Genomic DNA, 25,716 nt, shown 5'->3' with positions numbered 1-25,716 from the left:
CATTTTTCTTTGTGCTTTCTTTCTCTACATGATCTTGGCCCGCAAATCTTCACTGCCTTGACGTATCTCCAGTGTCTTCAAACATAAATCTTTTTTATATTTTGGGCAGCTTTTCTAGTTGTTCTCAGTGTACATGTTGATCAGCAACAAGCTAATTCTTTATCAATATGAGTATAAATCAAGTGAAGCAATTTTCTTGTTGTAGAATTGTTCTTTCAGTTTTACTGGCTAATTTTATGGTACAAAAGTTTAATTGTCTTGCTTCTTATCCTGTAGAAGCTCCTTTTCATAGAGACTTATCTCTTCTTCTCAAGCATCCACCTACCATACCCTCATCGTTTCCCACAGGACAAGTACTACTTTCTTCAACACAAAGATTTCCTCTTGGCGTCTATCTTGCATCCATAATGCACTCTGTAATCTTGAGTGACATGTCATACTTCTACCAGGTACTTGCTCATCAGCATCTCTACACTGTTCAGAATGGGTAAGGGAAAGAAAGGAAATATTGTTTTTATCTTCAAGAGTAAGGATGAATAGCCATTATCTGTTCTATTTGAAGTTCCCAAAAGGTAAAGTCTACGGATTTGCTGCATCCTTCAATACTTGAGTTACTAAGTAGCATGTATCTCCAAAAAGTTTTTATCTGAAGCAAAACAATGTTTCCTGCATAAATCTCATTTTCCCTATTACTAGGGTTCTGGTTCTGACTTTCAAGCCTCATGGCTCTCTGTGGCAAACTGAGAAGCTGCGCATTCTCTGTTTGCCCAGGGTGTGTCAGTGACATAAAATGTCAAACATTCTTTAAATCCTAGTCTATTTTCTACTTTGGGAATGGTGGCTCCAATGACTTTGCTCTATTTAGTGCCTCTCTGATGTAAATGGAGTGTGTGTGTTGTTTGTGTGTGTGTGTGTGTGTGTGTGTGTGTGTGTGTGTGTGTACCAATTCCTCTTACCATGCACTGTGGCTTTATTCTTACATTGCTCTCTATTATTCCCCCTTAAATTGGTCAATTATAAAACTGTATTCATTTTCTCCTGGAGATATGGTAACAGCTGTACGCCTGCTCCTTTATAGTCTTTCTGTTGACCCTCTCATTATCTCTCCCTGAGATTATTACAGTCCCTGATGAAGAATCTCATTCTATTTCTTCCTGTTTTCTGATTGCTTCCACTGTTTGTTCCATGTAACGCAGCCTTCCTACAACATAGCTCCGATACCATTAAGCTGTTAAAATTTGTCACTATCCCCTCACTGTCAAACAAATAAAATTAAAATTACTTAGTCTGTGATCTTATATGGGGCTCATTACAGTACAAAAAATCAAATCTCACCTACCTTAAGTTATTAAAATATATTGATAGGAAGTGGTGGCAGATGCCTATTGCTCCTTGGTCACCGGCATATACTTCTCTTCTACAACCCTATTTCCTGTTTTGTTTTGGAAAATTATATTTCTCTTATTATATGTTGCCTTATTGTAGACTGCATACCAAAACACCCTGCCCTACTCTGGCCAAAGGGCAAGTAACAACCCTCTTGACTAGTACATGATCTAGTTAGTCAAATTAGGCTCCCTTTCAACCCTTTCAGGACTTTGAGTCTTGATTAGAGAGATAGGAGATAGATCAGATAGATCCCTGTAACTCTAGCAGCAGCACCCAATCAGAATGGTCAATATCTTCAGCAGTTTAGTTACTCCAAACTGCCTTGGCTTTTGTTCTCATTTCATCTCTTGTTTCTTTCCTGAAATGAGACATTCAGTCATTAACTAAGCTACCTAGTTTATCTCCAATCTTTTCAAGTTTTGCTTAGCTTATCCAAAATATTTCTTCGTGTTTTTGCAATCAATATAAACTGATAGAAGAGGAATAGGGAGAACTGAGGCATAGCAAGAGCAGAGCATACAGAGAAGATTTGGTGGACCACAACTAGAATTACTATATGGGTAAGAAACAGGGCAAGTTTTCCTTCTGTCTGTCTCTCTTTCTGGGATCACATGGTCTTTTCTCTGTTTCTACCTAATTTTCTCCTCTCTATCCACATTGGCTTTTTCTGATTCAAATAAATCTGCCCTCAGATTATCTGCTTCAACCCTTACTCAAAGTGCTGTCCAAATCGAAAAGCTCATACAGACCATCTTGAATCTTTGTTTGTAACAAATACGAATTTCTAAAAGAAAATATGTGATTGTCCTGGATTTGATCTTGTGCCCAATCTGGTTAAACCAGGTGTGGCCAATGTTGTGTATAATATAAACCATGCTTCTCTGGATTAAGTATGTTCTCCAAGAAGGGAATGTTGGGGTTGGGGGAAAAGTTGATATCTCTAGTGTATTTTAATTATATGGTCTTCTGTTCAGTCCTTTGTGCTTTGGTTCCGATTCGTGTGTGAACTATCTATGTGCCTTTCTATTTCTGTGTCATATTGACTCAATGCCTATTGAATTAAAAATTGTGACTATTCTTGAAGGACTTCTTCAAATGTTTCCTGATCCACAGAGTCATTCCTTTTTGTTCTTAACATTACAGTCTTACCTGAAAATAGCCACTCTTTATTCTAAAATTCCATGGAAGATAGTATTTAATTTATGACAGAAATTATTAATACATCTTAACTGTATTAAAATTATTATACATGCTTAATGAACATTATTATCTTGAAAGCCACATGAAGGCAGAAAATTTGTCTCATTTATTCTGTCTACTATAGTGTATTTTAATTAATATACTGGGATACATATTTGCTCAGTAAAAAAATAAAATTTTTAGGAATATAATTATTTTTAAAGAAATAGGGTCTCACTCTGTGGTCCAGGTTGGAGTACAGTGGTGCCTGATATCATAGCTCACTGCAGCCTTGAATTTCTGGGCTCAAGCAATCCTCCTGTCTCAGCCTCCGAAAGAGCTGGGACTACAGACTTGTGCCATCATGTCTGGAAGTGAATACAATCTTGAGTGAAATCTTTTTATGTTCTATGAATAAGGATTTCTGGTCAACACATCAATATTGACAATTTCTTTAGGAATTGAGCTGTCTTAAGGGTACTTAGATAGTTCAAATGGCTTCATTACATTTTTATAATACTCTAAAGCATCAGAAAACAGATGCTTAACATTTGTCATTATGAAAGTTAAGAATAGAAAAATGGTTGGTGTAACATCAAATAACTTGCTGGATGGACCTTCAGTCATAAAAGTCCACTTTTCTCACTAACCTATCTAGGAATTCCCACATAGGCTTGCTGTTGATGCCACTTGGACTTGTATCTTGGGTTAAAAAAAGAATTTGAAAGTTACTACGTTTTAGTTGAATTAGCTACATATATGCAATTTTCCACATTTTTTTCATATGCTAAATTACTACAAAATTGAGGTTATAGAGTTTCAGTTATATGATATGGTTAAAATACCAACATTTCATGAGATTTAGGAGAAACATCTTTAAATAAATTTATGATATTTTACATAAAACTAAATGCAAAACTGAAAAAATCTAGCAGTTTATGCATCATTACAAAGATTAATTAATTACTCATGTAGGAGAGAAACAACAACACATGATATATGAGGGTATATGCATTCCCTGCTACAGCCAGAGGGTGCAGTGATTGTTGATCTGTGACTGCTTAGATAATGCTGTCTGTTTAAAGGTCTCCAAATTTTACAAACAAAATCGCCACTCTCCTTCAAACAGGAAATGCGTTACCTTCCACAGTAATTTAACCTCTATGTTTACTCATCTTGAAAATGATAATGTCATAATTAACATGACTACTGTGTGAGACAATGGATATTTTCTTCCTTGCTTTTGAAGATGTTTTCTATAAAGCAGCATGAGCTCTTCCGAGAAAGCTGTGGTGTAATGAGCATTTTTTTTAAATTAGAAGTCATAGTGAGAGGCTAGTTAGCTGGAGAGCAGGCCATATAGGACTCAGATCGTAGGCTACAGTCCTATGTGATCAGATACATCTAGTTCTGTAAGTCTTGACCTATTCTCCAACCTCAGAAACCCTTTTTAAAAGTGATTGTCCACACCTATAGTGAACTCATTTTCCACAAAGATGACAGGAACATCCACTGGGGAAAAATCAGTCTCTTCAATAAATGGTGCTGGGAAAACTGGATATACATATGCAGAAGAATGAAACTAGACCCCATGTTTCACCATATATAAAAATTAAATAAAAATGGGTTACAGACTTAAATCTAAGACCTCAAACTATGAAACTACTACAAGAACACATTAGGGAAAATCTCTAAGACATTGGTCTGGGCAAACATTTCTTGAGCAATACATCGTGAGCACAGGCAACCAAAACAAAAATGGACAAATGACATTACATCAAGTCAAAAGGCTTCTGCACAGCAAAGGATACAATCAACAAAGTGAAGAGACAACCCACAGAATGAGACAAAATATTTGCAAGCTACCAATCTGACAAAAGATTAAGAACCAGAATATGTAAGGAGCTAAAACAACTCTACAGGCAAAAAATCTAATGATCCAATCAAAAATAGGCAAAAAATTTGAATATGACGTTTCTGAAAAGAAGGCAGACAAAAGACAAACAGGTATATGAAAAGGTGCTTAACATTACTAATTGTCAAGTAATGCAAATCAAAACTATAATGAGATATCTCAGTCCTGTTAAAATGACTTAGATCCAATAGACAGGCGATGACAAATGCTGGCGAGGATGTGGAGAAAAGAAAGCCATTGTATGCTGTTGGTGGGAATGTATTAATAAATTAGTACAACCACTATGGAGAAGAGTTTGGAGGTTCCTAAAAAAAACTAAAAATTGAGCTACCATATGATCCAGCAACCCCACTGCTGGGTATATACCTAAAATAAAGGAAATCAGTATATCAAAGAGATATCTGCATTCCTGTGTTTGTGCAGCACTGCTGGCAATAGCTGTGATTCAGAAGCAACCTATGTGTCCATCAGGAGACAAATGAATAAAGAAAATGTGCTGCATATAAACAATGAGGTACTGTTTGGCCATAAAAAAAAAGAGAGATCCAGTCATTTGCAACAAGATGGATGAAACTGGAGATCATTATGTTAAGTGAAATAAGCCAGATACAGAAAGACAACCATCTCATATTCTCACTTATTTGTGGGATCTAAAAATGAAAACAATTGAACTTATGAACATAGACGTAGGCAGATTGGAGAAGGTAGTCGGGGGCTGGAAGGGTGATACGAATGGGTAATGGGTACAAAACATAGTCAGGATGAATAAGGCCTACTGTTTGATCACACAGGAGGGTGACTATAGTCAATAATGACTTAACTGTGCATTTTAAAGTAACTTAAAGAGTGTAATTGGATTATTTGTAACTCAAAGGATAAATGCTTGAGGGGATGGATACCCCATTTTCCACAATGTGTTCATTTCATATTGCAAGCCTGTATCAAAACATTTCATGTATGCCATAAATACATACATCTACTATGTAACCACAAAAATAAAAAATAAGAATAAATAAATTATTATCATTGATCAGAAAGAGTGAGAAATGGCAGTTTTTAAAAAGAGATACTATAAGAAAATTCTTTTAATTACCCTCTATTTTGTCTGCCTTAGCTCTTTGTTTTGTCACATTGCAGAGCTATGCTTATAGAAATCAGGTTTAAATACATTGCTTACACTTAAAATAATATAAAAACTCAAAACTACAACTAAATATTGACGATGCATTTGACTGAGATTTCTTTCCATCTGGGAATTTGAGGCTCTTTATACTATGCCCTTATGGTAGGGCAGGATCCCAGTGGAATATACCTCTTTGTTATGCATATATAAACCTGAATTTTGCTTTTTTAAAAGCAAAATATAAAAGCAAAATTCACAGATTAAATTTGTGAAGAAAACAGATCTACTTCCGCTTGTTAAATTACTGTTCTAGAGAATGGATCAGCGTAAACAATCTTAGGTTTTATTGTAGACTAGAGCTAATCTAATTGATACTGATAGAGAGTGTGGTACGTTTGTCAAGAGTGACTTTGGGGTCAGCCAGCCTGGGTGTGACTTTCTGTTTTACTTACTTGACACATTATCAAAGCTTCCAATGTAATTCTTTGCAAGATGAAGGTTTAGTGGGTACCTATTGTTTTGGTCAGCACAGCATGCATTCAGCTCCCTTCTAATAACAGCTTCCTGGGCTTCTTTTGGGAGCTAGCCTTCCCTTAGATTCAATGTTTACATTTCAGTTGGTGCTGAACCTGCTCTGTGAATTCAGAGGTAAGCACATGACTTAGGCATAGTCAAAGAGTATGAGTGAACAATAGTGCTAAGATTTTAGGTGAAATTACTAGAAAATCTAATGGGATGGCAAGTCTGGAAGGATGTTTAAATATTTTTAAACAAATGTGCTTCCAACTAAAGTCAGCACAATGGAAAACAATTACTGGAGAGAATGAGAGAACCAATAAAATGTTATGTGGGCACCTGAATTTTGCTCTGCTTAAAGTCAGATGACTCCTTTATGACTTCAATTTTAGAAACAAATGAATATTGTTTATTTTGAAAAAAGAGTGTTGAATAATAAAAAGTAAAATTAGAATGTTTATAATCTTGTAGGAATTTTATGATTATAGAGTATTCGCTATAGTACCCACTAACTGTTTGATGACATTTGTTTGTGTGAACACCTATCTTGGTCAATCTAGATCAATGACTGAGTCTTACCAACAGTACTTATCTGAAGATTGAGGGAGGCAACCATGATAAACTTTTACAGAATTTCTTCTTAGCAATAACAAGCAACTTTTAGAAACAGAACACATAATTTTCAAAAAATTAGGACATATCCTTCCATGAAACTTTACTGGAATGCATTTATAGAGCATGGTCCATGTGTCAGATATATTTTCTTGTTCTCAGATATTTTTCCTCTTCCTAGCTAAAGCCAGAATCTCACTTTACAATATTAGTGCCAAGACTCTGTAGGACAAACAGCCTAAGAGTAAAAACAATAGTAACACATGTAAATAATACATAGAAAACATGGATTATACTAGAACTAGAGACACTCTTGAGTCATGTCTGGCTAAAGATTTTCACTAGTATCTTTGGAAGAAATAACAAAAATATATCTAATTCCATTATTTGAGTACAATCAATCTTAATTTTTTATAACCTCCATCATTTCTAGAAACTTCTGCATTTAGAGTACCTTTTATGATATGCAGATCTTGGCCAAAAGGCACAGATTCTATTATACCATTTCATCCAATATTCTGGTGCCCAGAATGGGCACATCGTGGAGAATGTTACCTTAAAAAGCTCAGCCATCTGGAGCTCTTAAACATCTGCAGACATATCTGCATGTAGAAAGTGTATGGACTTCTCAGCATCTATCCCGACATTCCCATGCAATACTCTTTTACCGTGGAGAATTCAACTTCACAAATGGCATTAAAAATTGCATCTTTGAGAGTCTTATAATAGCGCTGTTAACATATTAGCAATCTGTTAGCAGTCTGGACTGCCATGAGCAAGAACCCACGCACAGTATGAGCCATCGTTTATTTTTGGTCACACCAAGAAAGTACAACATTTATTTTAATAAACTAAGACACAAAAATCCCCAGCAGGTTGAGATACACCAAATGGGATATTGATAGACGACAAAATGTTGTTGACTCTTTATAAGGACAGAGGACAGACTGGGAGCTTGCAGCTTGTTTTTAACTCTTGTAAAAATAGGCGAGCCATTCTCTTGGTCACTCTAGGAAGAAATCTCAATTACTGTGTTAGTTTTCTTCTCAAGTGGTGATTGGTTGATGCCATTATTTACAATCCACGAGGATTGTTTTTCAAAGAGATATTCTGTTGGAAACATGAAACAGTGTGCTCTTAGCCTGCTGTACTGAGTTATTTTTATTCCCCTTTGGGAATAGTGAAGTATGATTCTGCACATACAGTACATGATTATGGCAAGACATTTTTAAATGGGAAACTATTGAGCATGAATGTGTAGGTACCAGGGTGAAAATTGGGCAGTGCCTGTAGAATGTAATTCATAATACCTATCTCTGGTGGTTGATATTCTGAAAAGGAGAAGCTTATAATAATCTTATTATACATAATGCATGTATACTAAGGAAATAACTTTTATGTTTATTTTTTGAATTTGGTCTTTCCCTTGAAGTCAGAAGAGGAAAATTACTGGCTTGAAACTCAGAGGCTGAAGAAAAGAAAATAGAAATAGGGCTTTGGTGAGGAACCATAGGCCTGGTGTGCAGTGCACAGACTGTACTTGCATAAGAATTACATATTTTGAGCAGGTTTTTCCAAGCCCCCAAAATGAAGGAATTTCCGCAGGAGAATGGCCATCCCAGGTGGGAAGCAATTTTAAACATAGTTGCTTCCTCACTAGAAAGTTGGGAGCAGAGTAAGAGACATCGTTAGTACAATAACGTACTGTGCAAGATGAAAACTGCATCAGCAGAGAGATCCTATGATGTTTATGTGGGACGAATCATTTATCTGTTTTCTTTTCACTTAGAGTAGAAGTAGTCACATACTTTTCTTTTTTTCCTTCTGAAAAGCTTCTTTTTTTCAGAAACTCATAAACCATTGCCCACAACCATACCTGGCTGTTTTCTCAAGAGTGAGCTCTTAATCTCATTCTCTTTGGTTGTTGAAAAATTGGGTGAACTCACCTGGTTAAGATGAGTTCTGAGGAGATACGACAGGCAGTGGAAGTATTTGTTACCTACAATGGCACATTGATGGAGCCCAAGGAAAAGCCCAGTTGCATAGATTATGAGGGCCAGGATTCAAAATATTATACGCATAAGTTTGCAAAACAAGTTGCAGGCATTTGGAACTGGAGTACTGAGCTTGGCAATTTCAAGAGTGGGTTGAAAAGGTGAGTTGATGTGGAACTTCTGGCATCCAGACTTTTTCAGGAAGCTGTTGTATGGAAGAGATACATTCACTTAAAAGGTCTGAGGACATTTACTCCATATAACAGTATTAGAAATGCAGCTGTGAGTAAAACACTATGCTGGCTCTCATGAGGCTTACAGCCTCATACCAGTTTTTATCAGCAAGATATTGCTTTTCTCGGGAAATGATTTGGCTTTTAAATTGTTTTCAGTGGATTGTATGTCAGGCTATGTGTTTGTTTTAAATAAGCCAATCTACAATAATCTGCAGTAAAAAAAACTTTATTTTTATCTTTTCCCAGTTCATCATGAAAATGAAATGTGCTGATCAAACATTTCATCAGGCAATGTATAGATTTTTGGGTTGTACAAAGTGATTAATATTCTGGAACTATGTTTAATCTTCTGGAGATAAACTAAAAAGATGAATGTTTCAATTGGCAGGAATTGCTGCTCATTAATCTCTGTTGTCAACATTAAAAAAAGAAAGAAAGGAGAAAAGCAAGCAAGCAGGCAAGTAAGAAAAGACAAGCCTCCTTGAAGTACTTTGTGAAAACTTATCTCCTTGCCTTAATGTGGTCAGTAGCCACAGCTTTATTAACCCATGGCAATTGACCCAATTAAATCACACTTTTATGTCTTTTCAATTTTTATTTCACTAGGAATTTTTCTCCACTTTGATATTCCATATCTCTATAGCACTTTTGCTACTTAGATTATCTCTAATGTCTTACTGATTTAATTATTTTTACCTTTTGAAACTACGTAGATAATTTCCAGACATAAATGATTTTGTCATAAGAATATACTTCAGAGAAATATCAATTTTTAAAACACACAAGGTAATGTTTTAAATAATAAATGTTGACATGTTTTGGATTTGTGTCCCCACCCAAATCTCATGTTAAATTGTAAACCCCAGTGTTGGAGGAGGGGCCTTGTGGGAGGTGATTTGATCATGGGATCAAATTTCCCCCTTGCTATTATCATGATAGTGAGTTCTCATGGGATCTGGTTGTTTTAAAGTGTGTAGCATCTCCGCCTTTGCTCTCTTCCTCCCTGGTCGTGTGAAGAAGTGCCCCCTTCCTTTTCACCTTCTGCCATGAGTGTAAGTTTCCTGAGGCCTCCCAGGCCATGCTTCCAGTACAGCCTGTGGAATCATGTGCCAACTAAACCTCTTTTCTTTATAAATTACACAGTATCAGGTATTTTTTATAGCAGTGCGAGAACAGACTAATATAGAAAATTGGTACCAAGAAGTGGGACACAGCTATAAAGACACCTGAAAGTGTGGAAGCAGCTTTGGAATTGGGTAATGGGAAGAGGTTGGAAGAGTGTGGAGGGCTCCGAAGGAGACAGGAAGATGATGGAAAGTTTGGAACTTCCTAGAGACTTCTTAAATTATTGTGACCAAACTGATTATTGTGATATGGCCAATGAAGTCCAGGCTGAAGAGGTCTCAGATGGAGATGTGAAAGTTACTGAGAACTTAAGCAAGGATCACTTTTGTTATGTCTTGGCAAAGAGGTTGGAAGTATTGTGCCCCTGCTCTAGAAATCTATGAACTTTGACCTTGAGAGTGATGATTTAGGCCATGTGATGGAAGAAATTTCTAAGCAGCAAAACATTCAAGATATGACCTGGCTGCTTCTAGAAGCTTATGCTCATATTCATGAGCAAAAAATATGTAGAACTAGAACTTATATTTAAAAGGGAAGCAGAACATAAAAGTTTGAAAAGTTTGCAGCCTGGCCATATGGTGGGAAAGAAAAACCCATTTTTGGGGAGGAATTCAAGCTGGCTTCAGAAATTTGCATAAGTAAAGGGGAGCCAAATGTTGATAGCCAGGATAATGGGGATAATGCCTTGAAGGCATTTCAGAGATCTACAAGGCAGCTTCTCCCATTGCAGGCCTGGAGGTGTAGGAGGGAAGAATGGTTTTGTGGGCCAGGGCCTGGGCCCTCCTGCTCTGTGCAGTCTCAGGACATGGCCCCCTGCATTGTAGCTGCTCCAGCTCCATCAATGGCTAAAAGGAGCCAATGGGCAGCTCAGGCTGTTGCTTCAGAAGGTGCAAACCATAAGACTTTGTGGCTTTCACATGGTATTAAGTCTGTAGGGGTGCAGAGTGTGAGAGTTGAGGCTTGGGAGCCTGCACCTGTATTTCAGAGGATGTATGGAAATGCCTGGATGTCCAGGCAGAAGTCTGCTGCAAGGGTGGAGGCTTCATGGAGAATGTCTACTAGGGCAGTGCCAAGATGAAATGTGGGTTTGGAGCCCCCACACAGAGTCTCCACTGGGGCACTGCCTATTGGAGCTGTGAGAAGAGGGCCACCATCCTTCAGACCCCAGAATAGAATGGTAGATCCACTGACAGCTTGTACCATGCTTTTGGAAAAGCCTCAGGCATTCAACACCCCATGAAAGCCCATGAAAGCAGCTGCAGGGGCTGTACCCTGCAGAGCCATAGGAGCAGAGCTGCCCAAGGCCTTGGGAGTCCACCCCTTGGATCAGTGTTGCCTGGATCTGACACATGGAGTCAAAGGAGATTATTTTGGAGCTTGAAGATTTAATGACTGCCCTGCTGGGTTTTGGACTTGCACAAGGTCTGTCACCCCTGCTTTTGGCAGATTTCTCCCCTTTGGAAAGGGAGTATTTACCCAATGCATTTCCCCCCATTTCATCTTGGAAGTAACTAACTTGTGTTTTATTTTATAGGCTCATAAGTGGGAGCAATGAACCTTGTCTCAGATGAGACTTTAGACTGTGGACTTTTGAGTTAATGCTGAAGTGAGTTAAGACTTGAGGGACTATTGAGAAGGAATGATTGTCTTTTGTAATGTGAGAAGGACATGAGATTTGGGAGGGGCCACGGGCGGAATGATATGGTTTGGATTTGTGTCCCCACCCAAATCTCATTTCAAATTGTAATCTCCAGTGTTGAAGGAGGGGCCTGGTGGGAAGTGATTGGATCCTGAGGGCAGAACTTCTCCTTGCTCTCCCTGTGATAGTGAGTGAGTTTTCATGAGATCTGGTTATTTAAAAGTGTGTAGCACCTCCCCTTTCTCACTCTTCCTCTGCTCTGACCATGTGAAGAGGTGCCTTCTTCCTCTTCACCTTCTGCCATGATTGTAAGTCTCCTGAGGCCTCCTCAGCCATGCTTCATGTACAGCCTGTGGAACCATGAGCCAATTAAATCTCTTTTCTTTATAAATTATCCAGACTTAGATATTTCTTTTTGGCAGTGCAAAAATGGACTAATACATATGTGTTATTAAGTTCTACTGGATATTTGTAATTTCTAGTATCAGAATTTCAAAACCAATAACTTCCTGTCATACTTTAAGTCATGAAGCTCATACAAATAGTGAGTTTTAGAAAATAAGAGCCTGGATTTTGCATCTTGTTGCATACCTAATGTTGAGATCATTCCTAAAACTTTTTTTTGATCGGAGAAGCTGATACTAAATCTCTCAAGGTGAAGTCTGTTGCCATCATTGCCCTTGTATATACAACAGCTTAACTGGCTTTTCTGTTCTTAGGAACCTAGGAAGGCCAGTGTTTCAGAAAGAGCTATGAGGAATAATTTAGCCATTCTGTGAGAAATTTAAATTAGCCCAATGATTTTTGTGAAAAAGAACTTATTTAATCAACTCCTAGAGGACAGAAAATAAAAATGTCCCATCGCTGACAGTCATATCCCAGCCTTTCTTGGTTAAAGTACAGGTGTTAACAAAAGAGTATCCTCTGAGTGTGGGAACCATTCACTTCATTGAACTGGTAATGAGATTCATTGTAACTATAAAGAACCATGTATGTGAATATCTTGCCACTCATCAGCTGAATAATCTTGGGTAAATTACTTAATTCTTTGCACACAAGATGCTTGAATTGGAAAATGGGCATAATAATAAAACCTACCTCATAGAGTTGTTATGCACACCAAATGAGTTAATATTATAAAGCACTTGAATACGACCATTTGAGAAGCAGTTTATTGTTTTGGTGCTCTATAAAGAAAATTACAAGGACACTAGAATAAAACAATATAGTGTCTCCATGATTACTTGCACACTGAGTCTTCATCAAATATTAGATTTCCATCCTCAATTCCTTTTTTCTATATGAGAAAAGAAGTGGATTAAACAACTATCTTCAAAGTATATGAGGGTCTTCAGAGTGTGGTCATTAGTTGTCAGGCTGCCTAGGTTCAAACCCTAACTACTATGCGCTTCTGTGATCTTAGGCAAAAATCTTAAACCACACTGTGTTGTATTTCTCTTGCTTGTGAAACAATAGTACTGGAAACATAAAATTATTTTATGAGGGTTAATTAACATGATGGGTGATAAAGATTTAGCCATTACAATGCTATTGTAAATTTTCTTTTTTTTTTTTCTTTTACTTTAAGTTATGGGATACCTGTGCTGAAAGTGCAGGTTTGTTACATAGCTAAACATGTGCCATGGTGGTTTGCTGCACCTATCAACCCGTCATCTAGGTTTTAAGCCCCACATGCATTAGGTATTTGTCCTAATGTTCTCCCTCCCTTTTCTTCCAACCTCTGACAAGCCCTGGCATGTGATGTTCCCCTCCCTGTGTCCATGTGTTCTCACTGTTCAGCTTCCACTTATGAGTGACAACATGCAGTGCTTGGTTTTCTGTTCCTGTGATAGTTTGCTGAGAATGATGGTTTCCAGCTTCATCCATGTCCCTGCAAAGGACATGAGCTCATTCTTTTGTATGGCTGCATAGTATTCCATGGAGTATATGTGCTACATTTTCTTTATCCAGTCTATCGTTGATGGACATTTGGGTTGGTTCCAAGTCTTTGCTATTGTAAATAGTGCTGCAATAAACATATGCGTGCATGTGTGTGTCTTTATAGTAGAATAATTTATAATCTTTGGGTATATACCCAGTAATGGGATTGCAGGGTCAAATGGTATTTCTGGTTCTAGATCTTTGAAGAATCCCACGCTGTCTTCCACAATGGTTGAACTAATTTACACTCCCACCAACAGTGTATAAGCGTTTCTATTTCTCCACATTCTCACCAGCATCTGTTCTTTCCAGACTTTTTAATAATCGCCATTCTAACTGGCATGAGATGGTATCTCATTGTGGTTTTGGTTTGCATTTCTCTAATGACCCATGATGATGAGCTTTTTTTCATGTTTGTTGTCTGCATAAATGTCTTCTTTTGAGAAGTGTCTGTTCATATTCTTCACCCACTGTTTGATGGGCTTGTTTTTTTTTCTTGTAATTTTTTTAAAGTTCCTTGTATATTCTGGATATTAGACCTTTGTCAGATGGATAGATTGTAAAAATTTTCTCCCATTTGTAGGTTGCCTGTTCACTCTGATGATACACTTTCTTTTGCTGAGCAGAAGCTCTTTAGTTTAATTAGATCCCATTTATCAATTTTGGCTTTTGTTACAATTGCTTTTGGTGTTTTCGTCATGAAGTTTTTGCCCATGCCTATGTCCTGATTGGTATTGCCTAGGTTTTCTTCAAGGGTTTTTATGGTTTTGGTTTTATGTTTAAGTCTTTAATCCATCTTGAGTTAATTTTTGTTTAAGGTATAAGGAAGGAGTCCAATTTCTGTTTTCTGCATATGGCTAGCCAGTTTTCCCAGCACCATTTATTAAACAGGGAATCATTTCCCCATTGCTTGTTTTTGTCAGGTTTGTCAAAGATCAGATGGTTTTAGATGTGTAATGTTATTTCTGGGATCTCTGTTCTGTTCCATTGGTCTATATATCTGTTTTGGTATCAGTACCATGCTGTTTTGGTTACTGTAGCCTTAGTTTGAAGTCAGGTAGTGTGATGCCTCCAGCTTTGTTCTTTTTGCTTAGGATTGTCTTGGACATATGGGTTCTTTTTTGGTTCCATATGACATTTAAAGTAGTTTTTTTTCTAATTCTGTGAAGAAAGTCAATGGTAACTTGATGGGAATAACATTGAATCTGTAAATTACTTTGGGCAGTTTGGCCATTTTCATGATATTGATTCTTCCTATCCATGAGCATGGAAGTTTTTCCATTTGTTTGTGTCCTCTCTTATTTCCTTGAGCAGTGGATTCTGGTTCTCCTTGAAGAAGTCCTTCATGTCCCTTGTAAGTTCTATTCCTAGGTATTTTATTATCTTTGTAGTAATTGTGAATGGGAGTTCACTGACGATTTGGCCCTCTGCGTGTCTATTATTGGTGTATAAGAATTCTTGTGAGTTTTGCACACGGATTTTGTAACCTGAGACTTTGCTAAAGTTCCTTGTCATACTAAGGAGTTTTTGGGCTGAGATGATGGGGTTTTCTAAATATACAATCATGTTATCTGTAGAGATAAGTTGACTTCCTCTCTTCCTATTTGAGTACCCCTTATTTCTTTCTCTTGCCTGGTTTCTATGGCCAGAACTTCCAACACTATGTTGAATAGGAGTAGTGAGAAAGGGCATGCTTGTCTTGTGCCGGTTTTCAAAGGGCATGCTTCCCATTCCCTTTGACAATCCCTTATGACAAACCCATAGCCAATATCATACTGAATGGGCATTCAATATGATGGGCATTCAGTATGATATCGGTTATGGGTTTGTCATAAATAGCTCTTATTATTTTGAGATATGTTCCATCAATACCTAGTTTATTTAGAGTTTTTAGCATAAAGCGGTGTTGAATTTTATCAAAGGCCTTTTCTGCATCTATTGAGATAATCATGAGATTTTTGTCATTGGTCCTGTTTATGTAATGGATTATGTTTACTGATTTGCATATGTTGAACCAGCCTTGCATCCCAGAGATGAAGTCGACTTGAACATAGTAGATAAGCTTTTTCATGTGCTGCTGGATTCTGTTTGCCAGTATTTTATTGAGGATTTTCACACTGAGGTTCATCAGGGATATTGGCCTGAAATTTTCTTTGTGTGTGTGTGTGTGTCTCTAACAGGTTTTGGTATCAGGATGATGCTGGCCTCATAAAATGAGTTAGGGGGGAGTCCCTCTTTTTCTATTGTTAGGAATAGTTTCAGAGGGAATGATACCAGCTCCTTTCTGTACCTCTAGTAGAATTCAACTGTGAATCCTTCTGGTACTGGGCTTTTTTGGTTGGTAGGCTATTAATTACTGCCTCAATTTCAGAACTTGTTATTGGTCTATTCAGGGATTTGACTTCTTCCTGATTTAGCCTTGGGAGGGTGTATGAGTCCAGGAATTTATCCATTTATTCTAGATTTTCTAGTATATTTGCATAGAGGTGTTTATTGTATTCTCTGATTGTCGTTTGTATTTCTGTGGGATCAGGAGTGATATCCCCTTTATCATTTTTATTGTGTCTATTTGATTGTTCTCTCTTTTCTTCTTTATTAGTCTGGCTAGCAGTCTATTTTGTTAATCTTTCAAAGAACCAGCTCCTGGATTCATTGACTTTTTAAAAGGTTTCTCATGTCTCTATCTCCTTCAGTTCTGCTCTGATCTTAGTTATTTTTTTGTCTTCTGCTAGCTTTTGAATTTGTTTGTTCTTTCTTCTCCAGTTTTTTTACTTGTGATGTTAGGGTGTTTATTTTAGACCTTTCATACTCTCTGATGTGAGCATTTAATGCTATGAATTTCCCTCTTAACACTGCTTTAGCTGTGTTTGATAGATTCTGGTATGTTGTCTCTTTGTTCTCATTGGTTTCAAAGAACTTATTTATTTCTGACTTAATTTCGTTATTTACCCAGTAGTCATTCAGGAGCAGGCTGTTCAGTTTCTATGTAATTGTGCAGTTTTGAGTGAGTTTCTTAATTCTGAGTTCTAATTTGATTGCACTGTGGTCTGAATGTTTGTTATGATTTCCATTCTTTTGCATTTGCTGTGGAGTGTTTTACTTCTAATTATGTGGTTGATTTTAGAATAAGTGCTATGTGGTGCTGAGAAGAATGTATATTCTGTTGATTTGTGGTGGAGAGTTCTGTAGATGTCTATTAGTTCTGCTTGGTCCAGAGCTGAGTTCAAGTCCTGAATATCCTTGTTGATTTTCTGTCTTGTTGAATTGTCTAATATTGACAGTGGAGTGTTAAAGTCTCCCACTGTTATTGTGTGGGAGTCTTTGTAGGTCTCTAAGAGCTTGCTTTATGAGTCTGGGTGCACCTGTATTGGGTGCATATATGTTTAGAATAGTTAGCTCTTTTTGTTGCATTGATCCCTTCACCATTATGTGGTGCCCTTCTTTGTCCATTTTGACCTCTGTTGGTTTAAAGTTGGTTTTATCAGAGACTAGGATTGCAACCCCTGCTTTCTTTGCTTTCCATTTGCTTGGTAAATTTTCCTTCATCCCTTTATTTTGAGCCTATGTGTGTCTTTGCACGTGAGATGGGTCTCCTGAAGGTAGCACACTGATTGGTCTTGACTTTTTATCCAATTTGCCTGTGTGTGTCTTTTAATTGGGGCACTTAGCCCATTGACATTTAAGGTTAGTATTGTTATGTGTGAATTTGATCCTGTTTTTATGATTCTAGCTGGTTATTTTGCACAAAAGTTGATGTAATTTCTTCACAGTGTTGTTGGTCTTCATATTTTGGTGTGTTTTTGCAGCAGCTGGTACTGGGTTTTTCTTTCCATATTTAGTGCTTCCTTCAGGAGGCAGGCCTGGTGCTGAAAAAAATCCCTCAGCATTTTCTAGTCTGTATAGGATTTTATTTTTCCTCCACTTATGAAGCTTAGTTTGGCTGCATATAAAATTCTGGGTTGAAAATTTTATTCTTTAAGAATATTGAATATTGGCCCCTACACTCCTCTAACTTGTAGCGTTTCTGCAGAGAGATCTGCTGTTAGTCTTATGAGATTCCCTTTGTAGGTAACCTGACATTTCTCTCTGGCTGCCATTAACATTTTTTCCTTCATTTCAACCTTGGGTAATCTGATGATTATGTGTCTTGGGGTTGCTCTTCTTGAGGAATATCTTAATGGTGTTTCTGTATTTCCTGAATTGGAATGTCGGCCTGTCTCGCTGGGTTGGGTAAGTTCTCCTGAATAGTATCCCGAAGTGTGTTTTCCAAGTTGGTTCCATTCTCCCCATCACTTTCAGGGACCCCAATCAATCGTAGGTTTGGTCTTTTCACAGTACCATATTTCTTGGAGGCTTTGTTCATTCCTTTTAATTCCTTTTTGTTTAATCTTGTCTTCTTGCCTTATTTTAGTAAGTTGATCTTCAATCTCTGATATCCTTTCTTCCACTTGATCAATTTGGCTATTGATACTTGTGTATGCTTCACGAAGTTCTTGTCCTGGGTTTTTCAGCTCCATCAGGTCATTTATGTTCTTCTCTAAACTGATTATTCTAGTTAGCAGTTCCTGTAACCTTTGTCAAGATTCTTAGCTTCCTTGTATTGGGTTAGAACCTGTTCTTCTAGCTCTGAGGAGTTTGTTATTACCCACCTTCTGAAGCCTCCTTCTGTCAATTCGTCAAACTCATTCTCCATCTAGTTTTGTGCCCTTGCTGGAGAGGAGTTGTGATCATTTGGAGGAGAAGAGGCATTCTGGTGTTTCGAATTTTTAGCATTTTGGGGCTGTTTTTTCCTCATCTTTGTGGATTTATCTACCTTTGATCTTTGACGCTGATTACCTTTGCATGAGATTTCTATGTGGGGGTCCTTTTTATTATGCTGATGTTATTGCTTTCTGTTTGTTAATTTTTCTTCTAACAGTCAGGCCTCTCATTTTCAGGTCTGCTGTGATTTGCTAGAGGTCCACTCCACACCCTATTTGCCTGGGTATCACCAGCAGAGGCTGCAGAACAGCAAAGATTGCTGCCTGCTCCTTCTTCTGGAAACTTTATCCTAGAGAGGCACCAGCCTGATGCCAGCCAGAGCTATCCTGTATTAGGTGTCTGTCAACCCCAGTTGGGAGGTCTCTCCCAGTTAGGAAGCATGGGGGTCAGAAACCCACTTGAGGAGGCAGCCTGTCCCTTATCAGAGCTCGAGTGCTCTGCTGGGAGAACCCTCCTTGTCAGGATCTGCTGCTCTCTTCAGAGCAGCCAGGCAAGAATGTTTAGGTCTGCTGAAGCTGCACCCACAGCCTCTCCTTCCCCCAGCTGCTCTGTTCCAGGCAGATGGGAGATTTATCTATAAGCCTCTTACTGGGGCTGCTGCCTTTCTCTCAGAGATGCCCTGCCCAGTGAAGAGGAATAACAGATGGGACAGAGAGGCAGTCCGGCCATAGCCACTTTGCTATGCTGTGTTGAGTTCCACCCAGTCCAAATTTCCAGGCCTCTTTGGCACTGTCAGGGGAAAACCACCTATTCAAGCCTCAGTAATGGTAGACTGATCCTCCCCCCTCCCCACCAAGCTTGATCATCGCAGGTCAACTTCAGACTGCTGTGCTGGCAGTGAGAATTTCAAGCCAGTGGTTCTTAGCTTGCTGGGCCCAGTGGGAGTAGGATCTGCTGAGCGAGACCACTTGACTCCCTGACTTCAGCCCCCTTTCCTGGGGAGTGAATGGTTCTGTCTCGCTGGAGTTCCAGGTGCCATTGGGGGTGGGGAGTGTGAGGGGAACAAAAAAAAAACTCCTGCAGCTAGCTCGGTGTCTGCCCAAACAGATGCCCAGTTTTTAAACCCAGGTCCCTGATGGTGTAGGCACACAAGGGAATCTCCTGATCTGAAGATTGCAAAAACCCTGGGAAAAATGTAGTATCTGGGCTGGATAGCATAGTCCCTCATGGCTTCCCTTGGCTGGGAAAGGGAGGCCCCCCACTCCTCATACTTCCTGGGTGAGGCAATGCCCCACCCTGCTTCTGCTAGCCCTCCATGGACTGCACTCTCTGCCTAACCAGTCCCAATGAGATGAACAGTGTACCTCAGATGGAAATGTAGAAGTCACTCACCTTCTGCATGGGTCTCGCTGGGAGCTGCAGACCAGAGCTGTTCCTATTTGGCCATCTTGCCAGATCCCCCTGTAAATTTTTAATGATGCTGTTTTTATTATTATTGTTACATATGTTATATATACGTAATATGCATTAAGACAGTTGAATAAAATATTAAATCAACAGATGACACATTGTAACATTTTTCACCCAAGTTGGACTGGTTAGTTATTTTATGTCTTTTTATTTAAAGAGTGGTTTCTCAACTATTACTATTGTTATTATTGGCACACTTATGAATTTAGCTAATAGTGCCATAAAACTAAGTAAAATAGGGTGTCAAAACAAGCTAAAAAATAAGAAACTATTTCTTCCCTGGTCATGTAAATACTAGCATCATTGTACTTAAATATATGAAGTTGAGTATTTTATTACCCAGGTAGCTGTCCTACTATGTGAAATGATTGCTTTCCTTATAAAAAGTATCAAATGAGCTTCTGAAATTTTGCCCTAGATTGCAGAGCCAGAAGAGAAAGAGTTGTCAGGAACATGTTGGAACCAGATTCAGAGCATGATATGTACCCAGGGGGTCATAACGAAGCCTGGGCTGGAAAAAGAGTTTGATAGTTCAACTTTCATGAAAAATGTGGAGTGGAAAGGAGTGAAAAATCTGGTTTCCTTCTCCACTGTTTTCCATTTCAGTATTGAAGTATTTCAATTCTCTGGACAATAAAATAAGGGAGTACATGATAGATGGCTGTCAAAGGCAATATTGCTCTTCAGCACCATTAATATTTTAAGTTTACACTAAAATAGCAGGTGGGACCTCTATGGTGATTTTGGCTTAAGGCAATGCTAAATCCTGAGAATTGCTGAAGCACTTTGAAGAACAGCACCCCAAGCTCTATTCCACAAGCTGGCTTTGATGATTGATAAATTATAATGGCAATTAATGTAGTTAATTTCAAAAATTAAAGAGATAGCTATTTTCTTTCAAGTTTTGCTATAATATGCAGCATTTTTTTCAAAGATACTCAGACTCAATTGCTGTTTGCCTCAGGTTTTGTATTCATCGCCTGACTTCCTACAGCTCTTCAGCAGGTCTCTCTGACATGAACCCACCTGAGGTATGTCAGCGTGCTTCCACTGCCCAATTGTTCTATACTCCAAATCAAAAGAATGACATCCTTCTCTAGTGTTCTGGAGTTCTGAAAATTGGATGCTTTATTTGAAAACACAAAGAAAATGTGACTCTTTCTCATGTTGTTCTTCTCTCCACAGGGAGGCCATTACATTAATGCCTTCAGCTTTCCGCACAGCCCATATTGCTTTGGTGGACGCTTTGAAATGTCTGGTCGTTATAACTCAGTCACTCAAGACACCTCACTTAAAAATTCTAGTTATGGAATAATTGTGATGCCATAGGAAGAAAATTAAGCAAGCTGTCTACTCTTGGGAAATGTTAACAAATGCCTGTGCATACTGTGAAGAGTCCACGGGGAAGAAAATGAGCCACACAAGGTCAGAATAACTTACTATGCTGTTAATAATATCTTCCTGGTTATTGAGGGGCTATTCATTTTTATTAAATAACAAAACACTGAGGCATTAAAAATATTTAACTCTAGTTGTTTTGATGAAAAATATAGATTTTTTTTATTTTAGCTAACAGTTTTTGAAAGCTGATTATTGGTCAGACTCTATGCCTAACACTTTATATATATATATATATATATTCCTTCACCTAATCTTCACAATGATCTGTGATCTAAGGCTTTTATGAAGATTCAATCAGAAAACATATAGAAAATAGTTGCAATAAATGTCTTCTGACACATACAAATTGTGGTATTACGATTTTTCTTATTTATTGCAATTAGGTGAGACTTAAGCACACATAGGCATAATATATATGATCATAAATGCTTGCACTAATTACAATGACCAAAAAAATTTAAACACATTTGAATTATTAATTGACTTAAGAGAAGTGTCTCTGACTTGGTTCCTTCAGATGGTCCCACCTATATTTATTATACACTGATCACTATGAAGACATAAAGATTTGTTAAAAGTGGCCTTTGAAGAGCATGTAATTGTGTCCAGAATTGGCGGGTTCTTGGTCTCACTGACTTCAAGAATGAAGCCGCAGACCCTCACGGTAAGTGTTACAGTTCTTAAAGGCAGCGTGTCCGGAGTTTGTTCCTTCTGATGTTCGGATGTGTTTGGAGTTTCTTCCTACTGGTGGGTTCGTGGTCTCGCTGGCTCAGGAGTGAAGCTGCATTCCTTCGCGGTCAGTGTTACAGCTTTTAAGGCGGTGCATCTGGAGTTGTTCGTTCCTCCCAGTGGGTTCGTGGTTTCACTGGCTTCAGGAGTGAAGCTGCAGACCTTCTCGGTGAGTGTTACAGCTCATAAAGGTGGTGTGGACCCAAAGATTGAGCAGTAGCAAGATTTATTGCAAAGAGCGAAAGAATAAAGCTTCCACGGTGTGGAAGGGGACCCAAGCGGGTTGCCCCTGCTGGCTGGGGCAGCCTGCTTTTATTCTCTTATCTGGCCCCACGCACATCCTGCTGATTGGTCCATTTTACAGAGAGCCGATTGGTCTGTTTTACAGAGAGCTGATTGATCCGTTTTGACAGGATGCTGAGTGGTGCATTTACAATCCCTGAGCTAGACACAAAAGTTCTCCATGTCCCCACTAAATTAGCTAGATACAGAGTATCCATTGGTGTATTTACAAACCCTGAGCTAGACACACAGTGCTGATTGGTGCATTTACAAACCTTGAGCTAGATACAGAGTGACGATTGGTGCATTCACAATCCCTTAGCTAGACATAAAGATTCTCCAAGTCCCCACCAGATTAGCTAGATACAGAGTGCCGATTGGTGCATCCACAAACCCTGAGCTAGACACAGGGTACTGATTGGTGTGTTTACAAACCTTGAGCTAGATACATAGTGCCGATTGGTGTATTCACAATCCCTTAGCTAGACATAAAGATTGTCCAAGTCCCCACCAGATTAGCTAGATACAGAGTACTGACTGGTGCATCCACAAACCCTGAGCTAGACACAGGGTGCTGATTGGTGTGTTTACAAACCTTGAGCTAGATACAGGGTGCCGATTGGTGTATTTACAATCCCCTAGCTAGACATAAAGGTTCTCCAAGTCCCTACCAGACTCAGGATCCCAGCTGGCTTCACCCAGTGGATCCCGCACTGGGGCCACAGGTGGAGCTGCTTCCAGTCCCGCACCGTGCGCCTGCACTCCTCAGCCCTTGGGTGGTCGATGGGACCGGGCACTGTGGAGCAGGGGGCAGCGCTCGTCAGGGAGGCTTGGGCCGTGCAGGAGCCCATGGCAGGGGGAGGGGAGGCTCAGACATGGCGGGCTGCAGGTGCCAAGCCCTGCCCCACGGGGAGGCAGCTAAGGCCTGGCAAGAAATCGAGTGCAGCGCCAGTGGGCTGGCACTGCTGGGGGACCTGGCGCACCCTCCGCAGCTGCTGGCCCAGGTGCTAAGCCCCTCACTACCCGGAGCCGGTGGGGCCAGCCGGCTGCTCCGAGTGTGGGGCCTGCCAAGCCCACGCCCACCCAGAAGTCTAGTTGGCCCGCAAGCACTGTGTGCAGCCCCGGTTCCCGCCCGTGCCTCTCCCTCCACACCTCGCCGCAGGCTGAGGGAGCCAGCTCTGGCCTCAGCCATCCGAGGAAGGGGCTCCCACAGTGAAGTGGTGGGCTGAAGGGCTCCTCAAGCATGGCCAGAATGGGCACCAAGGCCAAGGAGGCACCGAGAGCGAGTGAGGGCTGCGAGGGCTGCCAGCACGCTGTCACCTCTCATAATGAAATTGGAAAATCATTCTAAGCTTGCAGAAAACTTATGGAATAATAGATATTGGTATACAGTCAAATGCTAAATGGTAAGATGTAGGCGACTGACTAAAAATAGAGTTTGGAGAATTTTCCTGGAGGAAATAAAGCTTGCTGAAGTCTTCAAATTTGAAAATTTAGGTGATTTTATTTTAAAGAGGAAAGGAAAGGAAAAAAAAAAAACTACTGTAAGTAATACCTGAAGTTTCTTTCCATGGTGAGCAGTGGGAAATGAGTTCTTAAAGATTCTTGGTGCTCATTGATGGGAAAAATCAATATTGTTAAAATGGCCGTACTACCCAAAGCAATTTACAGATTCAATGCTATTCTTATAAAACTACCAATGTCATTCTTCACAAAACTAAAAAAAGCTATTTTAAAATTCATATGGATCCAAAAAAGAGCCTGAAAACCCAAAGCAATTCTAAACAGAAAGAAAAAGCTGGAGGCATCACGTTATCTGACTCCAAACTATACTACAAGGCTACAGTAACCAAAAAGGCATGGTACTGGTATAAAAACAGACACATAGACCAATGGAACAGAATAAAGAGCCCAGAAATACAGCTGCACAGTTAAAACCATCTGATCCTCAATAAAGGTGACAAGATCAAGCAATGGGGAAAAGACTTCCTATTCAATAAATAGTTTGGGGATAACTGGCTAGCCATATACAGAAGATTGAAGCTGGATGCCTTCCTTACACTATTTACAAAAATCAACCCAAGATTGATTAAAAACTTAAATGTAAAACTTAAACATTTAAAATTCCTGGAAGATAACCTAGGAAATACTGTTCTGAACATAGGCCTTGGCAAAGATTTTGTGATGAAGATGCCAAAAGCAATTGCAACAAAAACAAAAATTCACAGATGGGACCTAATTAAACTAAACAGCTTCTGGACAGGAGAAGAAACTACTGACAGAGTAAACAGACAACCTACAGAATGGGAGAAAACATTTGCAATCTATGCAGCTGACAAAGGTCTAACATCCAGAATCTATAAGGAACTTTAACTAACAAGCAAAGGGCCAGGCATAGTGGCTCACACCTGTAATCCTAACACTTTGGGAAGCCAAGGCGGGTGGATCTTCTGAGGTCAGGAGCTCGAGACCAGCCTGACCAACATGGTGAAACCCTGTCTCTACTAAACTACAAAAATTAGCCAGGTGTGGTGCCTGTAATTCCAGCTATTGGGAGGCTGAGGCAGGAGAATTGCTTCAACCTGGGAGGTGGAGATTGCAGTGAGCCAAGGTCACACCACTGCACTCCAGCCTGGGAGACAGAGTGAGTTACCATCTCAAAAAAAAAAAAAAAAAAAAAAGGAACAAGCAAAAAACAATGCCATTAAAAAGTGTGCAAAGGACATGAACAAACACTTCTCAAAACAAGTCATAATGTGGCCAACAAGGATATGAAAAAATGCTCAACATCACTAATCTCTAAAGCAGGGGTCCCCAACCACTGGGCTGTGGACCTCTAGAAGTCTGTGGCATTAAATTCTTATGGGAGCATGAATGCTGTTGTGAACTGCACAAGGAATCTAGGTTGTGCACTCCACTCCTTATGAGAATCTAATGCCTGATGATCTGAGGTGGAACAATTTTATCCTGAAACCATCCCACCTCATCCATGGAAAAATTGTCATCCACAAAACTGGTCTCTGGTGCCCAAAATGTTGGAAACTGCTGCTTTAGAGAAATGCGAATCAAAACCCCAATGAAATACCATCTCACACCAGTCAGAATGATTATTATTAAAAAGTAAAAAAATAACAGATGCTGTTGAGGTTGTGGAGAAAAGGGAATGCTTATACACAGGTCATGGGAATGTAAATTAATTCAGCCATTGTGGAAAGTAGTTTGCAATTTCTCAAAGAACTTAAAATAGAACTACCATTCAACCCAGCAATCCTATTGTTGAGTACATACCCAAAGGAATATAAATCATTCGACCATAAAGGCACAGGCACTCATATATTCATTGCAGCTCTATCACAGTAGCAGAGCCATGGAATCAATCTAAATGCCCATCAATGGTAGACTGGAGGAAGAAAATGTGGTACATATATATCATGGAATACTACACGGCCATAAAAAAGAATGAA

General features: G+C 39.2%; 1 long non-coding RNA gene across 2 annotated transcripts in view; it reads left to right on the top strand.

Moving 5' to 3' along the window:
* LOC105377698 (uncharacterized) overlaps positions 1–21,899 on the top strand; it is a 37,591-nt gene extending 15,692 nt beyond the window's left edge. The window contains exons 1-3 of one of the 2 annotated variants that reach the window (XR_941160.2): positions 20,800–20,871; positions 21,026–21,265; positions 21,759–21,899. This is a non-coding gene — a long non-coding RNA (uncharacterized LOC105377698). Of the gene's footprint in view, positions 1–20,799; positions 20,872–21,025; positions 21,266–21,758 lie in introns of those variants that run through there. The other variant, XR_001742958.1, reaches the window with a different exon arrangement.
* The last annotated feature ends 3,817 nt before the right edge of the window (positions 21,900–25,716 follow it).

The sequence above is a fragment of the Homo sapiens genome, chromosome 5 (genome assembly GCF_000001405.40).
Source record: "Homo sapiens chromosome 5, GRCh38.p14 Primary Assembly".
Classification (NCBI taxonomy): domain Eukaryota; kingdom Metazoa; phylum Chordata; class Mammalia; order Primates; family Hominidae; genus Homo; species Homo sapiens.
Note: the sequence above shows the minus strand (reverse complement) of the source record. Positions and strands in the feature narration are given on the sequence as shown.